Source organism: Homo sapiens, chromosome 16 (assembly GCF_000001405.40).
Source record: "Homo sapiens chromosome 16, GRCh38.p14 Primary Assembly".
Classification (NCBI taxonomy): domain Eukaryota; kingdom Metazoa; phylum Chordata; class Mammalia; order Primates; family Hominidae; genus Homo; species Homo sapiens.
The window spans coordinates 68,012,990-68,039,768 of NC_000016.10; the positions used below are offsets into that span (position 1 = coordinate 68,012,990).

The 26,779-nt window shown below is 47.6% G+C and overlaps 3 protein-coding genes and 1 pseudogene across 5 annotated transcripts in view, besides 3 other annotated features; 1 reads left to right on the forward strand and 3 right to left on the reverse strand.

The window, feature by feature from the left end:
* Positions 1-446: 446 nt before the first annotated feature.
* On the reverse strand, positions 447-2,922 carry DPEP2NB (DPEP2 neighbor). Its single transcript, NM_001282442.2, has 2 exons — positions 2,715-2,922; positions 447-1,423 (listed from the first exon to the last, which is right to left on the reverse strand). The coding sequence occupies exons 1-2, from the start codon at positions 2,779-2,781 to the stop codon at positions 1,119-1,121; spliced, it is 372 nt and encodes a 123-aa protein (NP_001269371.1). The 5' UTR covers positions 2,782-2,922; the 3' UTR covers positions 447-1,118.
* On the reverse strand, positions 4,721-4,828 carry RNU6-359P (RNA, U6 small nuclear 359, pseudogene; annotated as a pseudogene).
* On the reverse strand, positions 7,927-10,243 carry DDX28 (DEAD-box helicase 28). The gene has a single exon (NM_018380.4). It carries the CDS (start codon positions 10,211-10,213, stop codon positions 8,591-8,593), a length of 1,623 nt encoding a protein of 540 aa, NP_060850.2. The 5' UTR covers positions 10,214-10,243; the 3' UTR covers positions 7,927-8,590.
* Positions 8,944-9,694: an enhancer, noted in NCBI's record as "NANOG-H3K27ac-H3K4me1 hESC enhancer chr16:68055836-68056586 (GRCh37/hg19 assembly coordinates)". NCBI's record gives its function as "activates a minimal SCP1, AML or CMV promoter by ChIP-STARR-seq in primed H9 embryonic stem cells {active_cell/tissue: H9 hESC(primed)}" and the evidence as "EXISTENCE:reporter gene assay evidence [ECO:0000049][PMID:30033119]".
* Positions 9,695-10,445: an enhancer, noted in NCBI's record as "NANOG-H3K27ac-H3K4me1 hESC enhancer chr16:68056587-68057337 (GRCh37/hg19 assembly coordinates)". NCBI's record gives its function as "activates a minimal SCP1, AML or CMV promoter by ChIP-STARR-seq in primed H9 embryonic stem cells {active_cell/tissue: H9 hESC(primed)}" and the evidence as "EXISTENCE:reporter gene assay evidence [ECO:0000049][PMID:30033119]".
* Positions 10,156-10,395: an enhancer, noted in NCBI's record as "active region_11002". NCBI's record gives its function as "activates an Ori minimal core promoter by ATAC-STARR-seq in GM12878 lymphoblastoid cells {active_cell/tissue: GM12878}" and the evidence as "EXISTENCE:reporter gene assay evidence [ECO:0000049][PMID:35858748]".
* The window catches only part of DUS2 (dihydrouridine synthase 2), a 56,037-nt gene continuing 39,552 nt past the window's right edge, over positions 10,295-26,779 (forward strand). For 2 of the 3 annotated variants that reach the window (NM_017803.5, NM_001271763.2), the window contains exons 1-3: positions 10,295-10,362; positions 12,426-12,505; positions 25,017-25,160. In NM_017803.5, coding sequence (NP_060273.1) covers positions 25,035-25,160 — 126 coding nt within the window. In that variant the 5' untranslated portion in view covers positions 10,295-10,362; positions 12,426-12,505; positions 25,017-25,034. The remainder of the gene's footprint in view (positions 10,363-12,425; positions 12,506-25,016; positions 25,161-26,779) is intronic. The other variant, NM_001271762.2, reaches the window with a different exon arrangement.

Sequence of the window (26,779 nt, forward strand, 5' to 3'; positions counted from 1 at the left end):
GAGCCACTGTGCCTGGCCGAGACCCCATCTAAGAGAGAGAGAGAAAAGAGGAAGAAGAAGGAGGAGAAGGAGAAGGAGAAGAAGAAGAAAGAAGGAAGAAGGAAGAAGAATAAGAAGAGGAGGAAGAAAGAGGCTGGGTATGGTGGCTCATGCCTATAATCCCAGAACTTTGGGAGGCCAACGCGGGCAGATCTTGAGGTCAGGAGATCAAGACCATCCTGGCCAACATGGTGAAACCCCGTCTCTGCTAAAAATACAAAAATTGGCTGGGTGTGGTGGCGGGCGCCTGTAGTCCCAGCTACCAGGGAGGCTGAGGCAGGAGAATGGCGTGAACCCAGGAGGTGGAGCTTGCAGGGAGCCGAGATAGTGCCACTGCACGCCAGCCTGGGTGACAGAGTGAGACTCCGTCAAAAAAGAAAAAAAAAAAAGATGATCAAGTCAAATACTGTTATGGAAAAATAATTTTTTTAATTTTTTTTTAAATTGAGCAGTAGGGACCTCACTGGGGCCATAATGGGCAGGAAATAAAGTAACATGTGAGCTTCAGGGGGATGTTGCTCAACTTCCTCCTTATTGTTCTTGCTGTAGGTGGCAGGTCTCCCCAGGTCTCTTTCTTCTACCTCCTGAGATGCCAAGCAGGAGGCTTTCTCCTGCTGTGACTAGCCATGGGCTGCTGCTTCCAGTTTCAGCAAGTCCTGGCCCTCCTGGTTTGTGCTGGTAGTTGCTGGCAGTGACTCAAAGCAAAGACCCATCTGGTAGATCAAGCCCTTACTGGGCTATGCTGCACTCCCTCTCTGCACTTGACTCCTCGGCTAGCAGAGTGCAGACTATTTCTATCTTCTGCCCAAAAAGGGACTCTGGAGAGATGAGTAGAGGAACATCAGGTTTTCTTCCAGGCCGTCTTCAGCCTTGGGATGTTCAAAGCAACCTCTCATTTTAAACCACAGTTTCTGAGGCTCCTTGGCCATGGGTAGTTAGCATGGAAGGGGGCTTCTGGATGAGGAAGGCATAGGCAGAATGACTCAGGCTCTATCTGCAGTGGTGGGCAGGGGAGGTCACCGCAGAAGAGGCATTAGCTGTCTTAGACAGCTAAACATTTGTCCTTTCTCCCAAATGGCTCAGCCAGCAAGCTTCTGTGGGGTCAGTCTCCTGCCACGATGCTCCAAGCGCCGAATTTTGGGGCTAGAGCAACCCAGGTCTTTATCTGACTCTATCGTAGCTTGACGTCTCTTGGGAGCACGCCTGGGGGCTGGCTTCTCTGCTTCAGCCTTTGTTGGGGTGGCCAAAGGAGCATCCCCATGGACCCGGTAGCCACCAACCAGGCAGTACGTCTCCCCATGCCAGCCTACCTGAGTTTCTCCACACCCTCGGTAGAGAACATGGTAGTGCCCAGGTGTGGGAGGAGAAGTGGCAGGCACTGCAGCTGGAAAGAAAACCAGAATTAGTCACTTTTACCTTATACATTGTGCTGTTACAGCCTACCCTCTCTCGCGACTCTTCCTAAGAAGTCCTTTCATCTTCTTCGCATCCCAGACACAGCCTTGGCCTATCACCTCTATGTGTCCCTGAGACAGGATGCTGGCTGTGAAAGCAGTTATGTGGAGCCTGTGTCAGCAGCAGGAGACCAGGAGATCCTCCTCATCCCTTCCATGACCAAAAATACATTTCTTAAGGTCTGTCACATCTCAGGCTTTAATGGAAATTATTTTCAAGTTTTGTAAAAAATGATCTACTATCAGCCAGGTGGGGTGGTTCACGCTTATAATCTCAGCACTTTGGGAAACTGAGGAGGGAGGATCACTTGAGCCCAGGAGTACCAGCCTGGCCAACATGGTGAAACCCCATCTCTACTAAAAATACAAAAAATTAGTCAGGCATGGTGGCACGCACCTGTAGTCCCAGCTGCTTGGGAGGCTGAGGCAGGAGAATCGCTTGAACCTGGGAGGCGGAGGTTGCAGTGAGCCAAGATCGCACCACTGCATTCCAGCCTGGGTGACAGAGCGAGACACTGTCTCAAAAAAGAAAAAGAAAAAGAAAAAAAGGATCTAATATTGTGCCACTGCACTCCAGCCTGGGTGACAGAGCGAGACTAAAATAAAAAGATCTAATACAAATTGGTGGGCCAGGCACAGTGCCTCACGCCCGTAATCCTAGCACTTTGGGAGGCTGAGGTGGGCCGATCGCTTGAGCTCAGGAGTTCAAGACCAGCCTAGGCAACATGGCGAAACCCTGTCACTACTAAAAAGAGAAAAAATTAGCTGGGTGTGGTGGCGCGTGCCTGTAGTCCCAGCTACTAGGGAGACGAGTTGGGAGAATCCCCTGAGCCCAGGAAGTTGAGGTTTCAGTGAGCTGTGATTATGCCAGTGTGCTCCAACCTGGACGACAGAGAACCTGTCTCAAAAAAAAAAAAAAAAAAAAAAAAAATTCAGACCAGCCCCAGCAACATAGCAAGACCCCATCTCAATTAAAAAAAAAAAAAAAAAAAAAAGATGAGAACCTTTCTGAGCACCTGCTCAGATGACATTTCACTTGCCCTTAGCAGGTGAACTTGCCCTGAGCAGGAACACTGTGGGTCCCTGAGTGGCCACGCCCTCGATATTACTTATGGCTGGGAAAGCTCGAGGTGTGGTGGGCCAGCCCAGAAGGAATGTGTCAGCCAGGTGAAGCTGTGGGTACAGCAACGCCTCCTGTATAGATGCCCCCTGTATGCCTACCTGCTGCGCTGCCCTCCCAGGGGACAGAGGACATGTTAGAGACAATATAGAGGATCCGGTCAGTCATTCTCTCTCAGCCAACCAAACAGATTGGTATCTTACAGAGAAATGGTAGGGAGGCTTCTCTAGGACGCAGGTGTGTAGTCACGCTGCCATGGAAACTTTGGAAGCTTGTGAGGTCATCACTACCCTGTGAAGTCACCTAAGGAATCTGTGACTTAAGGGGCAGGCTTCAGGCCTTCAGGGTTTTGTGGAGGAGAGCAGGGCAGAGATAGAGAGGAATCCTGCCTGGGCCCTCCCATCCAGCCCTCCCTACAAATGCCTAGTAGCCACTCTGTGGGGCACATCTGTCGGCTGGTACAAGCCCCAGTGACCACAGGAGGGCAAGAGAAACCTAAATTCTGATATGAGCTGGAGAGGCAAGATTAATCTAAGAGATAGATAGGTAGCCACGCACTGGTGCTAAGCAATCAACAGCAGGAGAGGCAGAGATTGGGATGGACAAAGGGATCATGGAAGGCTCCTTCGAGCTGGACTTGAAGGACTGGTGAGATCTGGACACACGCAAAGAGTAACTGCCCAACGTGTTCCCCTTGCCACTGCCTAGACAAAGCTGATTTATCAAGACAGGGAAATTGCAATAAAGAGTAATTCACGCAGAGCTAGCTGTGCGGGAGACTGGAGTTTTATTACTCAAATCAGTCTCCCTAAGCATTCAGGGATCAGAGTTTTTAAAGATAATTTGGTGGGTGGTGGGCAGTGAGTCCGGAAAGCTGATTGGTTGGGTCAGAGATGAAATCATAGGGAGTCAGCTTGGGCGTGGCAGCTCGTGCTTGTAATCCCAGCACTCTGGGAGGCTGACCAGCCTGGCCAACATGGTGAAACCCCTAAAAAAACAAAAATTAGGCTGGACGCGGTGGCTCATGCCTGTAATCCCAGCACTTTCGGAGGCCAAGGTGGGCGGATCACGAGGTCAAGAGATCGAGACCATCCTGGCCAATATGGTGAAACCCTGTCTCTACTAAAAATACAATTTAGCTGGGTGTGGTGGCATGTGCCTGTAGTCCCAGCTACTTGGGAGGCTGAGGCAGAAGAATCCTGAATCTGGGAGGTGTGGGTTGCAGTGAGCTGAGATCCAGCCATTGCATTCCAGCCTAGTGACAGAGCGAGACTCTGTCTCAAAAACAACAACAAAAACAAAAAGTTAGCCGGGCGTGGTGGCGCTGTCTGTAACCCCAGCTAGCTACCTGGGAGGCTGAAGCACTGAAACCCAGGAGGCAGAGATTGCAGTGAGCCAAGATCATGCCACTGCACTCCAGCCTAGGCGACAGAGTGAGACTCCATCTCAAAGGAAAAAAAAAAGAAATCTTAGGTAGTCGAAAGTATCCTCTTGCCGAGTCAGTTCCTGGGTGGGGGAGCCACAAGATTAATCTGGGTGGTGTCAGCTGATCCATCAAGTGCAAGGTCTTTTTTATTTTATTTATGTTTTTTGAGACAGAGTCTCACTCTGTTGCCCAGGCTGGAGTACAGTGGTGCAATGATCTTGACTCACCGCAACCTCCCCTTCAAGGGATTCTCGTGTCTCAGCCTCCTGAGAAGCTGGGACTACAGGCACCTGCCACCACGCCCAGCTAATTTTTGTATTTTTAGTAGAGACAGGGTTTTGCCATGTTGGCCAGTCTGCTCTCAAACTCCCCCGTCCTCAAGGGATCCGCCTGCCTTGGCCTTCCAAAGTGTTGGGATTACAGGCGTGAGCCACTGCGCCCAGCCAATCAAGTGTAGGGTGTGCAAAATATCTCAAGCACTGATACTATGTCATATATATAATATATAACATATATATGACACGTATGTATGTATATATGTACACACACACACACACACACACACACACACATATATATATATTTTGAGACAGATGCCTCGGCCTCCCAAAGTTCTGAGATTACAGGCATGAGCCACCATACCCGGCCTAGGTATATAATTTAAAAAAAATTAAAAAATTAACAAATATGGAACGCTTCATGGATTTGCATGTCATCCTTGCACAAGGGGCTGTGCTCATCTTCTCTGTATAGTTCCAATTTTAGTATATGTGTTGCTGAAGCGAGCATGATCTTAGGTTTTATATAGTGATGTTATCCCCAAGAGCAATTTGGGGACTGGTCAGAATCTTGTAGCCTCGGCCGGGCACAGTGGCTCACGCCTGTAATCCCAGCACTTTGGGAGGCTGAGGTGGGTGGATCACCTGAGGTCAAGAGTTCAAGACCAGCCTGGGTAACATGGTGAAACTCGTCTCTACTAAAAATACAAAAAATTAGCTGGGCGTGGTGGTGGGTGCCTGTAATCCCAGCTACTCAGGAGGCTGAGGCAGGAGAATTGCTTGAACCCGGGAGGCGGAGGTTGCAGTGAGTCAAGATAGCGCCTCCGCACTCCAGCCTGGGCAACAACAGTGAGACTCCATCTCAAAAAAAAAAAAAGAATCTTGTAGCCTCTAGCTGCATGACTCCTAAACCATAATTTCTAATCTTTTGGCTGATTTTGTTAGTCCTACAAAGGCAGTCTAGTCCCCAGGCATGAAGGGGGTTTCTTTTGGGAAAGGGCTGTTATCTTCTTTGTTTTAAACTATAAACTATAAACTAAGTTCCTCCCAAAGTTAGTTCAGCCTATGCCCAGGAATGAACAAGGACAGCTTGGAGGTTAGAAGCACGATGGAGCTGGTTAGGTCAAATCTCTTTCACTCTCTCGGTTGTAATTTTGCAATGGCGGTTTCAATAGGAGAGGGAATACGTTCCAGTTAAGAAGACTGAAAACATACAGGCTCTTCTTGACTTTGTTCTGCCCCAAATGTAAATTCATAGCACCCTCACATTTTTACCACCTAAGATTCAAGAACGCCAAGAGGTTAGGGGTCCATCCAAGGTCATACAGGTAGCAGAGAGGCATTCTGATCCGCAGGGCTTCATTTGGGGCTCCAGAATTATAGCTGTTAAGAATGTGAGGACAAGCTCATCACATTTAAAGGTGATGTACACTGGAGGTATGTTAAATGTGCCCCAAGGCAAAATGAGGCTCCCAAATGACTGTATGAAGTGCGAATGATGGTTCTATTTTTAAAATTTATTCTTTTTTCAGAAACAGGGTCTCATTTTGTCATCCAGGCTAGAATACAGTGGCACCATCATAGCTTACTGTAACCTGGAACTCCTGGCCTCAAGTGATCCTCTTGCCTTGGCCTCCCAAAGTGCTGAGATTATAGGAGTGAGATGTCACGTCTACAGATGAACCTATTTTAACATGAAATTCAAACAAATTCATGACAAGATAAGAATCCCAAATGACTGGCCAGGTGCCTTGGCTCATGTCTGTAATCCCAGCACTTTGGGAGGCTGAGGCAGGCGGGTCACTTGAGGCCAGGAGTTCACAACCAGCCTGGCCAACATGGCAAAACTCTGTCTCTACTAAAAATATAAAAACTAGCCGGGCATGGTGGTGTGCACCTCTAATCCCAGCTACTCAGGAGGCTGAGGCCCGAGAATTGCTTGAACTTGGGAGGCAGAGGTTGCAGTGAGCCGAGATTGTGCCACTGCACTCCAGCCTGGGTGACAGAGTTAAGACTCTGTTTCAAAAAAAAAAAAAAAGATAACAATACAAAATCATAACCTTATCATTACACTGCCCTCTCTTTAAATAGGCAAACAATGACAATCTTATCACTATGAAAGGATGAGGTTTAGCTCCCAGCAGCAGCCCAGGTCAGCACTGTGGAGAGGTACCAAAAGGTCATTAGGGCCAGGCGTGGCGGCTCACACCTGTAATCCTAGCACTTTGCGAGGTGGAGGCAGGAGTATCTCTTGAGCCCAGGAATTTGAGACCAGCGTGGGTAACATAGCTAGACCTTGTGTCTATTTTTTTTATATTTAAAAAAAGGCGATTTGGTCCTACTCAAAGGAAACAGGCAACTCTGCCCTTAGCCTGATCAGGACCACACTAGGAGCAGCCTTTGGTTCAGTGTGGCCAAGAACTTCCTACCAAAGAGAGATGACCTTAAGGAGAGGTCTCCCTATTACTGGCCTTGAAAAAGCAAACATGGGACATTTATTTAGTGGGGTTATTGCAGAGGGGATATGCCCAGGAGGTAGAGACGGCCCGATCTTTGGAGACTGGGTCACCCCGGTTGAGAATCATAGCACCTTCTCTCATAAGTTGCTTTAGTGTGGTGCTAATTGATGGCCTGCAGGGAGTGGTAGGAGGTAAAATATCAAGGGGATGGTTCCTGGGAAGTCTGTTCTGGCAGGAGGGCTAGCATGAGATCACTCAGATTCTCCAAGGCTCTGGAGAGAGTACTTGTCCGGAAGCATCCCTCTTGTCTTGTGGGGGTACAAAGCCTTACAGGAATTTGCTGGGACTCTGGGAAAGGCAGTACAGCATAGACAAATGGTTTATCAATTTGGGAGGGCCCAAGTATCACCTGGGGGAGTTTACAAAGAGTATTCTCAGGTCAAACTTTAGAGAGCTTAATCCCATCTGGAGTGGGGCTCAGGATTCTGTTATTTTTTTTGAGACAGAATATCAGCTCTGTCACCCAGGCTGGAGTGCAGAAGTGCAATTTTGGCTCACTGAAACCTTCGCCTCCAGAATTCAAGCCATTCTTGTGCCTCAGCCTCCCAAGTATTTGGGATTACAGGCGTGCACCACCACATTCAGCTAATTTTTTTGTATTTTTAATAGAGATGGGGTTTCGCATGTTTACCAGGCTGGTCTTAAACTCCTGACCTCAGGTGATCCTCCTGCCTCAGCCTCCCAAAGTGCTGGCATTACAGGCGTGAGCCACCACACCCGGCTTTTTTTTTTTTTTTTTTTTGAGATGGAGTCTTGCTCTGTCCCCTAGGCTGGAGTGTAGTGGTATGATCTTGGCTCACTGCAACCTCCGCCTCCCAGGTTCAAGTGATTCTCCTGCCTCAGCCTCCCGAGTAGCTGGGACTACAGGCGCGTGCCACCACGCCGGGTTGATTTTTGTAATTTTTTTTTGTGTATATATATATATACACATATATATATACACGTATATATATATACACGTATATATATATATACATATATATATATACGTATATATATGTATGTGTATATATATATATACGTATGTATATATATATATATATATATATATATACGTATATATATATATAAAGAAAATGCTATATGGTTATTTTTCCAGTTTTGTAAAACCGTTTAATCATCTCTCCTCTTTCTCGGCTACCGAGTTGGGATAGAAGGCAGAACCTGAAAATGTACAAGCAAAACTTCTGTGTTCGTCTACCCTTTACTTTTCTGCCAGTACCTTCCAGAGATTTCGCCAAGACGCCCGTTTGTCTTGGGCATTGTTAGAGAGTAACTCTGTCTACTGCTAGTCACATTTCCTTTCCTTTCCTTTCCCTGGGGGCTTAATGGATACCTTTTTGGGGGCAGGAAATACAAACTAAATGTTTATAAATGAAAACATCAACTGAAAGAGCCTTTGTCCTAGATGTGGAGGTTTGGTGTATGAATCCTCAGAAACTACTGAATTCCGCCCCGGTGCTAATTATTCTTAGGGGAGGCACATAAAAACATCATTTATTGTTAGAAATCATGACATGATACAAAGTCAAAATCCACTTGTGTCTTGCTAAAGACTACAGAAAGCCATGCTCAGCAGCTTCTTCTCCAATGCTGGCCAGCAGCGTACCTTTCCAAGTCACAAAGCAGTTCATCCCGCCCTCAAGGAGCCGACAGGGCAGCCCAGAGCCTCCCACTGACAAGTGTGGTCACCCACTCAAGATACTGGGAAAGATCCCTGTTCTAGCATCACATTTTAATCAGATTTGTCAAAATCAGGTTGCTTGGGGCAAAGGCTCTTTCACCGAGGATGCTAGTCCTGGAAGACTTCTCCTTCGGCGAGCCGCCAGCTCAATCTTCTGAACCAGGCTCACATCCCAGGGATGGGTCACAAAACTGATGACGGTGCCTGGCACCTCGCTCCCCACACGGCCCACTCTCCCTGCTCTGTGGATGTAATCTTGCAGCGTTGGGGGGAAATCATAATTGACAACCAGCTCCACACCAGTGCTGTCCAGGCCCCGAGAGGCTATGTCTGTGCAGAGAAGTATGTCTCGGGAGCTCTTCTGGAAGGACTGGAAGATTCCTACCCTCATCAAGGCTGGCATTTGCCCCTGCAACCTTAGGTGTTGGATTTTGTGGTCATCCAGAATATATCCCAGCCAGTTCACAGTGCTGGAGCTATTACAGAACACCAGAACAGTTCCTGAGGGACCAGTCCTTTCTGCTCTGTCACGATGCTTGAGGATGTGCACCAGCTCGGCCACCTTATCTGCTCCCTTCAGTCTCAGAAATGTCTGTTTCACATGAGGCATGATACAGTGGAGCTTGGAGCTGGTGATGGTGGTGACAGCATCTGGGCTGGCGACTTTATTCAGCAACTGGCCTACACCTTCGGGAAATGTGGCTCCTACCAGCACTAACTGAGCTTTGGGATTGAAGGGGTCTTCCAAGTCAGCTGGGCCTTCTGCTATGTGGCTCTTCTCTAAGATGTAGTCCACCAGTTCCAGGAAGCTTTCATCCAGCAGTGTGTCTGCCTCATCCAACACCAAGAAGGAGAGTTGCTCCAGACTGATCAGTCGACTTTTCAGGGCCTTCCACAGAGCCCCTGGAGTGGCCACAAGCACATCTGCTGAAGGCTGTCTGGACAGCTGCAGCCTGATCCTACGCATGCCGTGGCCTCCCTCCAGGTCCCGCACCAGCAGGCCCAAGGAGCGGCCCAAGGGTTGGGCCACAGCCCGCACCTGTTGGGCCAATTCTCGGGAAGGAACAAGGACCAGGCCTCGGGGCGCGGGGATAGGAAGGGAGTCCAGGCTTGGCTGGCCCAAGAGCCGTTGAAGCAGCGGCAGGAGGTAGCTGAGAGTCTTGCCACTGCCGGTTTCTGCGGCGCAAACGACATGGCGGCCGCGAAGTAGTGAGGGGATGGTGCTAGACTGCACGGTTGTGGGCTGAACGACTTCAGGCGCAGCCTCCTGTAGTGCGTGCAGCACACGGGGCTCCAGGCCCAGGTCAGCAAAGCTGCCCTTAGACGAGAGCTTTCGCACCGCTGGCGCCTCCTGTTGCGCGCGCTCGATGGAGAAGTGGTCCCGACGCGCGCGTCGACTCTTCCAGCCTTGAGAGGCTAGCGGCGCGCGCTCCCAACGGCCCAGTGTGAGGCGCGCCGGCTGGTTCAACTCCGGCCGCCGCGCCGAAACCAGCAGCGGTCCGGGTCGAACCAGCACCGGCCTCGGGAGGTTCCGCCGCCTGCTCTGCCGCTGTTCCAACTGCCGCTGTAGAGCCACTGGGATGCGCACCACCGGCAGGGGTTCGTCGGGACTGCGGACCGTGAGGCCCCGTCGCGGCGCCAGGAGCAACCGAGTCACGAGGGAAAAGAGCCGCACCGGCCGCGTTAGAGCCATGTTTCCCTTAGTGCGGGAGAAGCGCACATCAGTGACGTCACGGACGCGCCGCGACCTCGCGTACGGTGGCTGGCGAGGCTCAGTACGGTGTGTGGAGCTGGAGCACCGTGAGGAAGAAGCGAGGTTCTTTTTAAGAGTTCAGCTGCGAGGTCTGTAGCTCCGAATAGGGGATGGCGACATCCAGACCCGGCCAGCCTTGGGGAAGGGCGCGTCGTGGAGGCAGGACTGGAGGCTGGCGATACGAGGCGGCAGTGGGGCCTTGACCCAATGGACCATGAGGGCGGAGGGCTTCTGGCGATTGGTTACCTGGTTCCTGGGATTCTCTTTAGTTGTTCCTCATTGCCCTGAGATAGCTTGTCCCGTGCTGGTATCCGAGGTTGCAGCTGTTTTCCCAGATGTGTTCCCTGCGCAGGGTCTGGTAATCCGTGTTTATTGAGAGTTTGAATGAATGATCAGGCCTAGGGGCCGAGACAGGGGTCTGAAGTCATAGATCTGGGCTCAACCCCTCACCCTCTCTGTCTGTGAGCCCAGAGTGCAAGCTGATGGCTTTCAGCTTCTTCTCTCTCTCAAGTGGGAGATAAGGTCTTCAGGTTTTATTTCAAGTTGGGTCATCTTTTCTTCACAGTTATTTTCCTTCCTTTTAAGCCAAGGTTCACTCTCTACTCCCTCGTCACGCGTCCCAACTTCTCATCCAGAACCCACCCCTCTTGCAGCCCGCTCAGCTCCACTGGCTTCCCCGTCAGAAACCTGAATTACCTAAAATAGTAGTAAGAAGGGTGCTGCGACCCTACAAAGTGATCAAGTACGTGGCTTATCATGTAGCCCTGGTCAGGCAGAATATTTTACCTGAATTCAGATATTCGGGTTGTAAAAACAAGAACTATACGAGTCACTTTTTTTTTTTTTTTTTCTGAGACACAGTCTCGTTCTGTCACCCAGGCTGGAGTGCAGTGGCGCAATCTCGGCTCACTGCAACCTCCACCTCCTGGGTTCAGGTGATTCTCCTGCCTCTGCCTCCCAAGTAGCTGAGACTACAGCCGTACACCACCCACGCCCGGCTAATTTTTTCTGTTTTTAGTAGAGACAGGGTTTCACTATGTAGGCCTGGCTGGTCTCGAACTCCTGGCCTCAAGCGATCTTCCCACCTCGGCCTCCCAAAGTGATGGGATTATAAGCGTGAGCCACCATGCCCAACAGATACTTCTTGAACAGATCTGGAAAATGGGTGTCAGATCTTTTCTGTAATTTGCAGTGCCTGGGGTGGGAGATAAGGTAAATATTTATGGATTAACTCTCTGGGAGGTTCGTAACATCTGGAGAAAACGTTTTAGTTTCATCAAATACCAATGAAAAGATAAAAACTTTGCTTTTTTTGGAATAGTATGAGGAAAAACTTTCACAATTTTAAGTACACTCTACCCTTGTGCTACACAATTAGACTTTCTGGAGAGTTACCAGATAAATCAGAGGAAGAGAGGCTTTTTTTCTCCACAAGAAAATATCTGGAAGTAGGAAGAGAAAGTTTTGAGTAGTGATGGGTGAATGAACAGTCATTGGATAGGGTAGTGGTTCTAAAACAAGGGTGATTTTGCCCTTTCCCTCCCACCATATTTGACAATGGCTGGATACTTTTTTTTTTTTTTTTTTTATAGACAGTCTCACTGTGTTGCCCAGGCTGGAGTACAGTGGTGCGATGTCAGCTCACTGCAGTCTCTGCCTTCTGGGTTCAAGGGATTCTCCTGCATCAGCCATCTGAGTAGCTGGGATTAGAGGTGTGCGCTACCACTCCCAGCTAATTTTTGTATTTTTAATAGAGACAGGGTTTCACTACGTTGGGCAGGCTGGTCTCAAACTCCTGACCTCATGATTTGCCCACCTTGGTCTCCCAAAGTGCTGAGATTACAGGTGTGAGCCGCTGTGCCCGGCCCAATTCTATGCTACTTTTATGATTCTTTCCAAACTCAGGGCTTCTCCTTATCCAAATAGTTCCTTGGGGCCAGGCTCATGCCTGTAATCCCAGCTACTCGGGAGGCTGAGGCAGGATAATCGTTTGAACCCGGGAGGCGGAGGTTGTTGCAGTGAGCCGAGATCGCACCATTGCACTCCAGCCTGGGCGACAGGGCGAGACTCTGTCTCAAAAAAAAAAAAAAAAGGTCCCTTGGATGTTTGTCCCAACAGGTTTCATCCATTTCCATGTGCCACTGTTTTTCAGATATCAAACAAAGAATTACTCTGTACAAAGCCAGAACACATATATCAAAGTAATCCTGAAGTATCAGAACAAAATAATAGGTATGTATATGCATTTGGGTTTTTGGGTTTTGTTCAAATATCCAGGGTAGGGTAGCTGGTTAATATATAGTTGTTTTCTCATTATGCTTGAGTCCTTACAATATGATTACCTCAAAATTTCACAGGAGTTAGAGCTTGCCTAAGCCTGTCTGTGTCCGTGGCCACTAATTTCTTCTTGTCACATCACTAGACACTGCCTACCTTTTTTCCCCCTCACTCACAGAGGACATTGATTAACTTCTAAATGTTTTCTGAGATATTTTTATAAGTAGTGCTTTAGAAATAGGAAAGGTATCCTTATTGTGAAAAAAAATCTAAGCTCCTGAGATCAGGAGCTTGGTGTGTTCCTTGGATCTCAGTTAATAATGGTATATTCATTCATTCATTCAATCATTCATTCAACAAATACTTCCTGAGCACCACGCATGTGCCAGGCATTGGTAGTGAGGAAAACAGCCAAAATCCCTGCCCTTGTGGAGTTTACATTCTGATTTAATTGATTTGGGTTAAGGCCTAGACAAGGTCTTGCTCTGTCACCCAGGCTAGACTTCAGTGGTGCCATCTCGACTCACTGTAACCTCTGCCTCCCAGGTTCAAGTGATTCTTCTGCCTCAGCCACCCCAGTAGGTGGGATTACAGGCACGTGCTACCAAACCCGGCTAATTTCTGTATTTTTAGTAGAGATGAGGTTTTGCCATTTTGACCAGGCTGATCTCGAACTCCTGACCTCAGTTGATCTGCCTGCCTTGGCCTCCCGAAGTGCTGGGATTACAGATGTGAGCCATTGTGCCCAGCCGAGAAATTGGTATTTTTAGAAACCTCTCCAGATGTAACTAGGCTTGAGAATCACAGTTATAAATGAAGCACTTTGGGAATTGCAAAGCATTACAGCAATAAAAAGTGCTATTGGTATTACTTTATTGTTCCTCCATTTTCCCACCTGTAGCAGGGCTGTGCGCAGGTAATCATATTTTCAGTCATTATCACTATAGTATTCCTGGACCCTTTGACCTTCCTTCTCATCCAGCTCCCTACCTGCTCTTTGTTTTTTACCCTCTGGTCTACCTTCTGTTTCCCGAGTGATGTTATTAAAGCACAGCTAGGCCTGGTGTGGTGGCTCACGCCTGTAATCCCAGCACTTTGAGAGGCCAAGGCGGGCAGATCACGAGGTCAGGAGTTCAAGACCAGTCTGGCAAACGTGGTGAAACCCTTTCTTTACAAAAATACAAAAATTAGCTGAGCATGGTGGCAGGCACCTGTAATCCCAGCTACTCGGGAGGCTGAAGTGGAAGAATTGCTTGAACCCGGGAGGCGGAGGTTGCAGTGACCTGAGATTGTGCCATTGCATTCCAGACTGGGTGATAGAGCAAGAGTCTATCTGAAAAAAAAAAAAAAAAAAAAAGCACAGCTATGGCCATGTTACCCTTTGACTCAAAAGCCATTCATGAATCCTTGTTGCCTGCAGATTATTTCCTAATCAGTATCCAGAATTGGGCTCAACCTCTTCTGTTGCTTTCTTATGTGAATCTTGTTCACTCAAGTGATGGCTCCATGCAAGTTGGCCAAAGGGCTTGTAGTCCTTTACTGGGTAAGCCAGAGATTGGAGTAGTCATTCGTCTCCTCTAAAACCAAACTTGAGTGATAACAAAGCACTTTAAATGCACTTTGGCTGGGATAGAGTTCTTCTGTGACTGAAGCATGGAGTGGATCATAGCTCTTGTTGCACTTGGTCCATTAACTTCTTGTTTTTTTTTTTTTTTGGAGATGGAGTTTTGCTCTTGTTGCCCAGGCTAGAGTGCAGTGGCATGATCTCAGCTTACTGTGACCTCCGCCTCCCGGGTTCAAGTGATTCTCTTGCCTCAGCCTCCCAAGTAGCTGGGATTACAGGCATGCGCCACCACACCCGGCTAATTTTGTATTTTTAGTAGAGACGTGGTTTCTCCATGTTGGTCAGGCTGGTCTGGTCTCAAACTCCCGACTTTAGGTAATCCGCCTGCCTTGGCCTCCCAAAGTGCTGGGATTACAGGCGTGAGCCACCTCACCCGGCTGCCATTAACTTCTTTTTACAGCAAACACTAAGCATCTACCATATGCCAGATTGTATGCTCTCTGATGAGGATCTGGTGATGAACAAGCCACAGTGCCTATTTTCACCTTACAGTGAAGAAGGCATATTGACAGATAGTTGCTCTTCTATTAATAGTTGCCAGGATAGCTCCATGCCAGGACAGGAATGAGCTCAGAGATGCCTTTACCCTGTTTTGGGAGATGTTGGTCAGAGAAGGCTTCCAGGAGGAGGTGATGAGGTTCTAAAAGTCTACAGGGAGTCAGCCAGGTGGAAGAATAGGGACGTGGCCCCTGGGCAGGGACAGCTTGTTCAGAGATCCCATACTGAGAGAGAGCAGGCCAGGCTGGGGAACTAGAAATATTTAAGAATAGCTGAAGCTTAGCATGGGGGAGTTCTGAGGGCAGGAGGCAGGTGATGAAAGAGGCTTCTATGGAAGGTGGAGACCAGACCTTATATTTACTGTGTTAAAGAGTGTAGACTTAATTTTACAGGCAGTAGGGAAGGCGTCCAGAAATGGAACTATCATGTTTTGCGTATCATATCTTTGCGTTTGGAAAGAGCCCTTTGGCTGGAAGGAGCATGGATTGGAAGTGATAAGCCTGGAGGCAGAGAGACTGGTTTGGAGACTGTTGTCATGGTTCAGTTGATAGATGATGGCAGTTGTAGAGCTGAGAAGCTCTTTGAGGTTAAGAGCTTAGTGCTTTCCGTGTCTTTATACCTCACACGCTGCCTTGATCTTAAAAGAGCTAGCAGATGTTTGTCGATATAACAACATAATAATAGACGTTAGAGGCCAGGCGCGGTGGCTCACACCTGTAATCCCAGCACTTTGGGAGGCCAAGGCGGGTGAATCACGAAGTCAGGAGTTTGAGACCAGTCTGGCCAACATGGTGAAACCCCATCCCTACTAAAAAAAAATACAAAAAATTAGCTGGGCGTGGTGGTGGGCACCTGTAATCCCAGCTACTCGAGAGGCTGAGGCAAGAGAATTGCTTGAACCCGGGAGGCGGAGGTTGCAGTGAGCTGAGATCACGCCACTGCACTCCATCCTGGGAGACAGTAGGAGACTCCGTCTCAAAACAAACAAACAAACAAAAAATAGAGTGTTGAAACCGTGAAAGCATGATGAGAGTGGCTAACATTTATTAAGCCTTTACTATGTGCTGAGAACTGTGGTACACCATGGAATTCACTCTTCACAGCATTTCCTTTGACTCCCATAGTGGAGCCTCATATTCCACAAGGAGAAGCTGAGGCTCAGCTGGGTTAATTAATGTGCCCGAGGCACAGCTGGGATTCAAGTGAAGGTCTGTCCAATTCCAGAGCTCAGGATCTTAACTATGAAATGCTGTATCAGGGCTGGGCACAGTGGGTCACGCCTGATTCCAGCACTTCAGAAGGTTAGGCAGGAGGATCGCTAGAGGCCAGGAGTTGGAGACTAGCCTGAGCAACATAGCAAGACTGTATCGCTACAGAAAAATTTAAACACAAAATTAGCTAGATGTGGTGGAACATGCCTGTAGTCCCAGTTACTCCGGATGCTGAGATGGGAGGATCACTAGAGCCCAGGAGTTTGGGACTGCAGTGAGCCATGATTGTGCCGCTGCACTCCAGCCTGGGCAACACAGCAAGGTCCCATCTCTAAAAAAAAAAAGCTATATCACCTCTTTCTCCTCAAATCTAACAAATCATTTTTACTTTTTGTCATGTGCATGTATTTTGTTTTCTGTTTTTAATTTTTGTTTTTAATTTTTATTTTTAATAGAGATGGGGTCTTACTATGTTGCCCTGACTGGTCTTGAACTCTTGGGCTCAAATGATCCTCTTGCCTCAACCTCCCAGTGTTAGGATTACAGGTGTGAGCTACCACACCTGGTGTATTTACACTTTTTTTATTTTTTTGAGGCAGAGTCTTGCTCCAATTTCCAGGCTGGAGTGCAGTGATACGATCTTGGCTCACTGCAGCCTCCACCTCACAAGTTCAAGTGATTCTCCTGCCTCAGCCCCCCAAGTAGGTGGGATAACAGGCCTGCACCACCATACCCGGCTAATTTTTGTATTTTTTGGTATAGATGGGGTTTGCCATGTTGCCCAGGCTGGTCTTGAACTACTGAGCTCAGGTAATCTGCCCACCTTGGCCTCCCAAAGTGTTGGGATTATAGGCATGAGCCACTGGACCCAGCCACATGTTCAGATTAGGAAATAAGATAATTCTGTAAATACTTGATTCTAGTTGACTTTCCAAATTTGAATTTTAGAGCTGGATGCAGTGGCTCACGCCTGTAATCCCAACACTTTGGGAGGCTGAGGCAGGTGGAGTACCTAGGACCACAGGTGTGTACCACCATGCCCCGCTAATTTTTTGTAGAGGTGGTGTCTTATTATGTTGCCTGGGCTGGTCTTGAACTCCTGGCCTCAAACGATCCTCCCGCCTCAGCCTCCCAAAGTGCTGGGATTACAGGTGTGAGCCACCATGCCTGGCCAGAAATTGCTTTTTAAGCAAGCTTTGTCTTTGGGGAAAATTGACAGGGAAGGGAATGGTAAAGTTTGTTTATACTCATTATTTTTCCTGAATAGTGTTATGTTCAATCTGAAAGCACTATAATTAATGGGATTATGAAAGTTGCAGATACCAGGATGAAACCGCTTTTGTCAAAATAGGACAAGGAAGGTGTGAAGTAGAGGAAGCTCATGCTTACATGTCTGAGATAAGAACTGTTTCCAAGGATTTTCTAAAAACCCCACCGGAGGCCAGGAGTGGTGACTCACATCTGCAATCCCAGCACTTTGGGAGGCTGAGGCGGGTGGATCACTTGAGGTCAGGAGTTCAAGACGAGTCTGGCCAACATGGTGAAACCCCGTCTCTACTGAAAACACAAAAATTGGCCGGGCATGGTGGTTAATTTTTGTCCCAGCTAATCAGGAGGCTGAGGCAGGAGAATTGCTCGAACCTCGGAGGTGGAGATTGCAGTGAGCCAAGATCATGCCACTGTACTCTAGCCTGGGTGACAGAGTGAGACTCCATCTCAAAAAATAAATAAATAAATAAATAAAAACCCACTAGAAATCCCTTCATGTCTTTCTTGAATTACCTGCTTTGCATGGCTTGCATGTTTTGCATATGTATATATATTTCTATGACAAAAGTTTATCAGTAGACATTTTGGTTTTCTTTTTCTTTTTTTTGGAGACAGGGCCTTGCTCTGTCACCCAGGCTGGAGTACAGTTGCACAATCATGGCTCACTGCTGCATCGAACTCTTGGACTCCCAATGATTCTTCTGCTTAAGCCTCCCAGAGTGGCTGGGACTGCAGGCACCTTCCATCACTCCTGGCTAGTTAAAAAATATATATATATTTTTGGTAGAGATGGGATCTTGCTATGTTGCCCAGGCTGGTCCCAAACTCCTGGCCTTGAGTGATCCTCCTGCCTTGGCCTCCCAAAGTGATGGGATTACAGGTGTGAGCCACCTTGCCTGGCATAGACATTTTTTAGGACTATTGTAATTCAGATAAAATGCTCTGGAAAGAATACTTGCCCAGTAATGGCATCTCCACCAGTGAACTGAAGACAACTCTGGCTTTGATCCTCTAGGAAACTCATGAACTCTTTTTTTTCTTTTTTGGAGATGAGTCTCGCTCTGTCACCAGGCTGGAATGCAGTGGCGTGATCTCTCACTGCAACCTCTGCCTCCCGGGTTCAAGCGATTCTCCTGCCTCAGCTTCCTGAGTAGCTGCGACTACAGGCATGCGCCGCCACACCCAGCTAATTTTTGTATTTTTAGTAGAGACGGGGTTTCACCATGTTGGCCAGGATGGTCTTGATCTCTTTACCTCGTGATCCGCCTGCCTTGGCCTCCCAAAGTGCTAGGATTACAGGCATGAGCCACTGTGTCTGGCCATGAACTCTGTTTCTAAGCAACTTATATAAATCTCTCCCTTTCTGCCAATAAAAGCTTCCTTTTCCCCTTCTGTCACCAGATGTACTTGTGGCTTGCCCTTCTGTGCATCCTGGATTATAATCCTTTTCTCTCATTCTCAAATAAACTCAACATGTTTGGAGGTATTTTTCTTTAATGTCTTTTTTTTTTAAGGTTAACAGGATATTATGTCCATGTAACTGAAGTTAAGGTTATTATTTTTTATTTTTTGAGATGGAATCTCACTCTGTTGCCCAGGCTGGAGGGCAGTGGTGCGATCTTGGCTAACTGCAACCTCTGCCTCCCTGGTTTGAGTGATTCTCCTGCTTCAGCCTCCCGAGTAGCTGGGATTGCAGGTGCACACCACCATGCCTGGCTAATTTTTTTATTTTTAGTAGAGACAGGGTTTCATCATGTTGGCCAGGCTGGTCTGGAACTCCTGATCTCAGGTGATCCTCCTGCCTTGGCCTCCCAAAGTGCTGGGATTATAGGCATGAGCCACCTCGCCCAGCCAAGGTTACTGTCTAAGAAATTGAGCGTAATAGAGGAGACCAGCCCTTAAAAGGAATGGTAGAAGAGATTGGAAATGAGTGACTAAAGTGGTGATGTGGGTGTGATCTCAGGGTGGGGTGAGTGGTTGTGGCAGTAACTGGGAAAGGCATGGGGGCTGCCTAGTTTTTCTCAGAGGAGCCTCCTTAGAGGCAGGGTGTGTCAGGCACCTCTGACTGAGTGCCAGAGGAAGTTGCCAGACCAACCACCCTACAAGAGGCTGTCCTCTTGGCTACCACAGTGGTAAGTATTCAGTCACACCTTACTAAGCAGCCTCTAAAGGTCATGTACCTGGCTCAGTGCTAGAAATCTGGCAGTGAACTAAGCAGCCACACTCCTGTTCTTGTAGAGCTTGTTGTCCTGGTGGTCTCCAGGAGGAGCTGAGGATTGAACAAGAAACTACAGCAGTCAGTGTGGACACATGGAGTGTAACTGAGCTGCAGAGAAATGTAGGGTGTTTGGAAAGCATGGGACCAGGGACCTGAATTTGATTTTCTGTAGGGACGTATCTTCACAAAGGGGGCATTCAAGGACAAGGGGACCTTAGCATGGGCATGCATGACTGAGTTGGAGGAGTATTCCAGACAGAACTGCAAGTGGGCAGGCCCCAGGGAAGCAGACAGTTTGGTGTGGGAGACTTTAAAGGAAGGCCAGGGTGGCCGGGCACAGTGGCTCACACCTGTAATCCCAGCTCTTTGGAAGGCCAAAGTGGGTGGATCACCTGAGGTCAGGAGTTAGCTGGGTGTGGTGGTGGGTGCCTGTAATCCCAGCTACTCGGGAGGCTGAGGCAGGAGGCTGAACCTGGGAGGTGGAGGTTGCAGTGAGCTAAGATTGCGCCACTGCACTCCAGCCTGGGCAACAGAGTGAGACTCCATCTCAAAAAAAAAAAAAAAAAAAAAAAGGGAATGCCAGGGTGGCCAGGGCCGAGAGGGAGGGTGAGAGAGACACAGGTGAGGGTGAGGCTGGAGAGGTGGGTAGGGACTGATCATGCAGGGCCTTGTGGGCCATTAGAAAGGTTTAGGATTTTTCCTAAAGTCAGTGGGAAGCCATTGAAAGGTATAAACGGGGGAGTGGTATTATCAGAGTTGCCTTTTTAGGATCCCATGCTGGCAGAATGGATAGGAAGGGGCAAGTGTAGATTTTGGGAGACACATTTGGGGGCTGTGCTAAAGTCCTGGCAACAGATGAGCGGAGGGTTTCTGGTGCGCAGTTGTGGCCATTGGCATGTAGTAAAGCATGTGGGTTAGTTATATTTTGAAGGTTATTTCAATAGAAGTCAGTGATGGATTGAATGTGGGGAATGTGGGTTAAGAATGAGTAATTGGGAGACTGGAGATGCTATTAATGAAATGGGAAAGATTTTCTTTCTACATATTGGACTGGTTAACATGTTCTCTTCCTTTAGACCTTGGATCAGAGATTATTTCTTTTTAAAATTATTTTTATTTAAAAATTAAAAAAAAATTTTTTTTGAGACAGGGTCTTGCTCTGTCACCCAGGTTGGAGTGCAGTGGCATGATCATGGCTCACTGCAGCCTCAACCTCCCAGGCCCAAGTGATCCTCCAACTTCATCCTCCCAAGTAGCTGAGACTACAGGTGCTAATTTTTTTTTTTTTTTTTTTTTTTATATAGAGTCTTGCTGTGTCACCCAGGCTGGAGTGCAGTGGCACAATGTCAGCTCACTTCATCTCCTGGGTTCAAGTGATTCTCTTGCCTCAGCCTCCTGAGTAGCTGGGATTACAGGCGCATGCCACCACGTCTGGCTAATTTTTGTATTTTTAGTAGAGATGGGGTTTCACCATATTGGCCAGGCTAGTCTTGAACTCCTGACCTCGAGTGATCCACCCACCTCGTCCTCCCAAAGCACTAGGATTACAGACATGAACCACCGTGCCCAGCCCAATTTTTGCATTTTTTGTAGAGATGGGGTTTCACCATGTTGCCCAGGCTGATCTTGAACTCCTGAGTTCAAGCAATCTGTCCACCTTGGCCTCCCAAAGTGTTGGGATTATAGGCGTGAGGCACCTTGCCTGGCCTAGTTTTATTTTTATTTTCAAACAGGGTCTCACTGTCACCCAGGCTGGAGTGCAGTGGTATGATATCAGCTCAGCTCGGCAACCTCTGCCTCCCAGGCTCTAGTGATCTCACCTCAGCCTCCCTAGGAGCTGGTACTACAGGCATGCACTACCACTCCTGGCTAATTTTTATGTTTCTGTAGAGATGAGGTCTTGCCATGTTACCCAGGCTAATCTCCAACTCCAAGCTGATCTCCCATCTCCAACTCAAGCGATCTCCCCACCATGGCCTCCTTAGTGCTAAGATAACTGGCGTGAGCCATTGCCTGTCTTTTTATTATTTTTATTTTTTGTAAAGATGGGATTTTGCTATGTTGGTCAGGCTGGTGTTGAACTCATGGCCTCAAGCAATCCGCCCACCTCAGCCTCCCAAGTAACCGGGACTATAGGCATGTGCCACCACCCCCAGCTAATTTTATTTATTTTTTTATTATTTTTGGGTAGAGATGGAGTTTTGCCATGTTGTCCAGGCTTGTCTCAAACTCCTGAGCTCAAGCAATCCATCTGTCTCATCCTCCCAAAGCACTGGAATTATAGCATGAGCTACCATGCCTGGCCTCTTTGTGACTGTTTAGAGGAGACCATATTTGGTTAGAATAAATCATATTAGGCTGGGCATGGTGGCTCATGCCTGTAATCCCAGCACTTTGGGAGGCCGAGGTGGGCGGATCACGAGGTCAGGAGTTCAAGACCAGCCTGGCCAATATGGCAAAGCCCCATTTCTACTAAAAATACAAAAATTAGCTGGGCATGGTGGCGCATGCCTGTAGTGCCAGCTACTCTACTCGGGAGGCTGAGGCAGAAGAATTGCTTGAACCCGGGAGGCAGAGGTTGCAGTGAGCCAAGATTGCACCACTGCACCACTCTAGCCTGGGCAACAGAGCAAGACTCTGTTTAAAAAAAAAACAAAAACATAATATTAGCAGTAGTTTTCTTTGGGACGTGAGATTCTGATTTTCTTTTTTCCTCCTGTTGGCTCTCCCTTCAGAGTATTTCTAGAATGTGACCACTTCTCAACACCTTCACTACCAGCTCCAGGGTCTGAGGGAGCCACCATCATCTTTCATGTTGATTACAGAATCGCCTTCTCTCTGGTCTTCCTGCATCTGTGCCCCCGGATAGTCCACTCTTAGTGCAGCAGTCATAATGATCATGTAAAAATATGAGACAGTTCATGCAGAGCTAATGAAATTCTCAGCGTATCCTACAAGGCTCTACATGATCTGACCATTGTATCCTGTTTTCTTACTGCTGTTAACATTGTGTATCTGACTCTGTGTTTTCCTTTTTTTTTTTTCTTTTTCCTTGCTCTGTTGCCTAGACTGGAGTTTAGCGGTATTATCATATCTCACTGTAACCTGAAACTCCTGGGCTCATGTCATCATTCTGCCTCAGCCTTCCAAATTACTCTGACCATAGGCATATGCCACCATGCCTGGGTAATTAAATAAAATTTTTTTTTTTTGGTAGAGACTGAGTTTATGTTGCCCAGGCTGGTCTGCAAACTCCTGGCCTCAAGCAATCCTCCTGCCTTGGCCTCCCAAAGTGCTGGGATTATAGGCATGAGCCACCGTGCCTGGTCTCTCTTCTTCATTCTATGTGGTTTTTTTTTTTGGTTTTTTTTTTTTGAGACATTTACCCTCTGTTACCCAGGCTGGAGTGCAGGGGCGCAATCTCAGCTCACTGCAACCTGTGCCTTGCAGGTTCAAGCAATTCTCGTGCCACAGCTTCCCGAGTAGCTAGGATTACAGGTGTGTACCACCACATCCCGCTAATTTTATATATATATATATATATATATATATATATATATATATATATATACACACATACATACACATATATATACACACATATGTTATATATATATATACATATATATATTATTTTTATTTTTATTTTTATTTTTAGATGGAGTTTTCCTCTGTTGCTCAGGCTAGAGTGCAATGGCGCGATCTTGGCTTATTGCAACCTCCACCTCCTGGGTTCAAGCAATTCTCTTGCCTCAGCCTCCAGAGTAGCTGGGACTACAGGCATGCATCAGCACAGCTGGCTAATTTTTTTTTTTTTTCGAGACAGAGTCTTGCTCTGTCGCCCAGGCTGGAGTGCGGTGGCATGAGCTCGACTCACTGCAATCTTCCGCCTCCTGGGTTCAAGAGATTCTTTGCCTCAGCCTCCCAAGTAGCTAGGATTACAGGCACTTGTCATCATGCCCAGCTAATTTTTGTATTTTGAGTAGAGACGGGGTTTCACCATCTTGGCCAGGCTGGTCTTGAACTCCTGACCTCAGGTGATCCACCTGCCTCTGCCTCCCAAAGTGCTGGGATTACAGGCGTGAGCCACCTCACTCGGCCCAGCTGGCTAATTTTTGTATTTTTAGTAGAGACAGGGTTTCACCTTGTTAGTCAGGCTGATCTGGAACTCCTGACCTTGTGATCCACCTGCCTCAGCCTCCCAAAGTGCTAGGATTACAAGCGCGAGCCACAGTGCCCAGCCTAATTTTTTATATTTTAAGTAGAGATGGGGTTTTGCCATGTTGGCCAGGCTGGTCTCGAACTCCTGACTTCAAGTGATCCACCCACCTTGGCCTCCCAAAGTATTGGGATTATAGGTGTGAGCCACTGCGCCTGACCACATTCTACGCTTTAACCACATTGGCTTTCCTGCTGTTCCTCTAACACAGTAGGCAATCTCTTGCCTCAGGACCTTTGCATTGGTTATTTCCTCTGCTGTGCATTCTTCTTGAGTAACTCAAATCTTTGCTCCATTTTTTTTTTCTTCTCAGGGGTCTTCATTGATCAAATCTTATCTTCTCATTAAAGCCCATGTTGACTTCTCTATTTCAAATTGCAACCCATCCCCAGCACTTTCAATCTCCCCTCTCTCTGCTCTAGCATTACCAGTTTTCCAACATACTATATAGTTTACTTATTTGTTATGCTTTTTGTTTTTTTGCCTATACTCTCTGGCTAGAATGAAAACTCTGCTTCAGATACTCCAGTGCAGGTATCTGAGTAAAAAAAAAATGATTGAAAACTGCCAGAGCAGGGATTTTTGTCTGTTTTTTTTTTTTTTCTCTAATGTATCCCAGGAGACTGGGTCAGTGACTGGCACAGACTAGGTACTTAATAAATATTCGTTAGATGAATGTATGTGCATGTATACTAATTTTTATGTTCAGGGAAAAGGAAAACAGGCCAGGTGCAGTGGCTCATGCCTGTAATCCCAGCACTCTGAGAGGCTAAGGTGGGCAGATCACTTGAGGTCTGGAGTTCAAGACCAGCCTGGCCAATGTGGTGAAACTCCATCTTTTTTTTTTTTTTTTTTTGAGATGGAGTCTTGCTCTTGTTGCCCAGGCGGGGGTACAATGGTGCCATGTTGTCTGACTGCAACCTCCGCCTCCCAGGTTCAAACAATTCTCCTGCCTCAGCCTCCTGAGTAGCTGGGATTACAGGTGCCCGCCACCATGCCCAGCTAATTTTTGTATTTTTTAGTAGAGATAGGGTTTCACCATGTTGGCCAGGCTGGTCTCAAACTCCTGACCTCAGGTGATCCGCCTGCCTCGGCCTCCCAAAGTGTTGGGATTACAGATGTGAACCATCGTGCCTAGCTGTAAAACTCCATCTTTACTAAAAATACAAAAATTAGCCGGTCGTGGTGGCAGACGCCCATAATCCCAGTTACTTGGGTTGCAGTGAGCCCTGCACTACACTGCACTCCAGCCTGGGTGACAAAGCAAGACTGTCTCAAAAACAAAAACAATCAAACATAAACAACCAACCAAAAGAAAATGAAAACTACTGTGTGCTGGAACCTTGAAGAAGGGAAGCCTGCTCTTGATAACAGGAGAGATTTTCTTCATTTGAATTTCTGACTCTTGTTTCCTCTTTTTTTTTCAGGCTGTAACAGAGGAGGAAATGATTTTGAATAGCCTCTCTCTGTGTTACCATAATAAGCTAATCCTGGCCCCAATGGTTCGGGTAGGGACTCTTCCAATGAGGCTGCTGGCCCTGGATTATGGAGCGGACATTGTTTACTGTGAGGTAAGGGGCTCTGATTTTCTGGGTGGGCTTCTCCACAAGTACAGACTCCTCTTCATTTGTGTGTGGGAGTGGTCAGGAGTTAGTGGGGACAGAATGGGAATTGACTTTATAGGTGTTCACCAAAGGCTGGAGGAGACAAACATGTGTGACACTGATGAGTCTTGTGAACCCTGCCAAGGTCCAGGAGCCTGGTAGCACAGAAGCGTTCTGGGATACCCTGGGCCGGGTGGATAGATAAGTCGCCTGACATGTCTGGGCAACATAGTGGGACCTCATCTCTATTTTAAAAAATAAAAGAGGCCTGGCACAGTGGCTCATGGCTGTAATCCCAGCACTTTGGGAGGCCAAGGCGGGCAGATCACCTGAGGTCAGGAGTTCGAGACCAGTCTGGCCAACACGGTGAAACCTTGTCTCTACTAAAAATAGAAAAATTAGCCAGGCGTAGTGTTACGTGCCTGTAGTCCCAGCTACTCGGGAGGGTGAGGCAGGAGAATTGCTTGAACCTGGGAAGTGGAGGTTGCAGTGAGCAAAGATCACGCCACTGCACTCCAGCCTGGGCAACAGAGCAAGACTCCATCTCAAAAAAAAAAAAAAAGATAAAAATAAAAAATAAAAAGAGGCTGGGCGTGGTAGCTCATGCCGTAATACTAGTACTTTGGGAGGCCAAGGCAGGAGGATCACTTGAGCCTAGGAGTTTGAGACCAGCCTGGGCAATATAGTGAGACTCTATCTCTTTTTTTAAAAAAATTTATATATTAAAAAAAATAAGCCTGGTGTGGTGGCTCACACCTGTAATCCCAGCACTTTGGGAGGCTGAGGCATGAGGATTACTTGAGTCCAGGAGTTCGAGACCAGCCTGGGCAACGTAGTGAGACCCTGTCTCTACCAAAAAATAAAAATATAAAAAATGTACAAAAGAAAAAGAAAACCACTATATAGAGAGAATGGAAGACTTAAGAGGAGATTGGCGGAAAACAAACCCTTATGTACTGGGTATGTGTGTTGGCGCATAGGAATTAATGACAGAAGAGGTAAAAGAATGAGAAAAATAGGCAAATTAAAAAGAGTGTAGTGTCAGGGAAGGCAAAAGTCAGGTTTGTTAACCATGTCAGGTAATGCAGAGAAATCCAGCTGCAAAAAGACCAAGCAGGTATTTGACTTGAAAATTAGGCTGGGCAGAGTGGCTCATGCCTGTGGGGGGCTAGGCAGGAGGATCGCTTGAGCCCAGGTATTCAAAACCAGCCTTGGCAACATAGCGAGACCCTGTTTCTATTTTTTTTTTTCCTTGAGACAGAGTCTCGCTCTGTCGCCCAGGCTGGAGTGCAGTGGCGCGATCTTGGCTCACTGCAAGCTCTGCCTCCCAGGTTCACACCATTCTTCTGCCTCAGCCTCCCGAGTAGCTGGGACTACAGGCGTCCGCCACCACGCCTGGCTAATTTCTTTTTGTATTTTTAGTAGAGACGGGGTTTCACTGTGTTAGCCAGGATGGTCTCGATCTCCTGACCTCATGATCCTCACGTCTCCGCCTTCCAAAGTGCTGGGATTACAGGTGTGAGCCACCGTGCCTGGCCCCCTGTTTCTTGAAAAAAAGCAAGGAAGGGAGGAAGGAAGGAAGGAGG

What these genes read in the sequence shown, in the direction of transcription:
- DPEP2NB (NM_001282442.2), bottom strand. Translation starts at nt 2,781, where the DNA reads ATGACTGACCGGATCCTCTATATTGTCTCTAACATGTCCTCTGTCCCC. An exon ending in CTGGGAGGGCAGCGCAGCAG is followed by an intron (nt 1,424 to 2,714) that starts GTAGGCATACAG and finishes TTTTCTTTCCAG; the next exon opens with CTGCAGTGCCTGCCACTTCT.
- DDX28 (NM_018380.4), bottom strand. Translation starts at nt 10,213, where the DNA reads ATGGCTCTAACGCGGCCGGTGCGGCTCTTTTCCCTCGTGACTCGGTTG.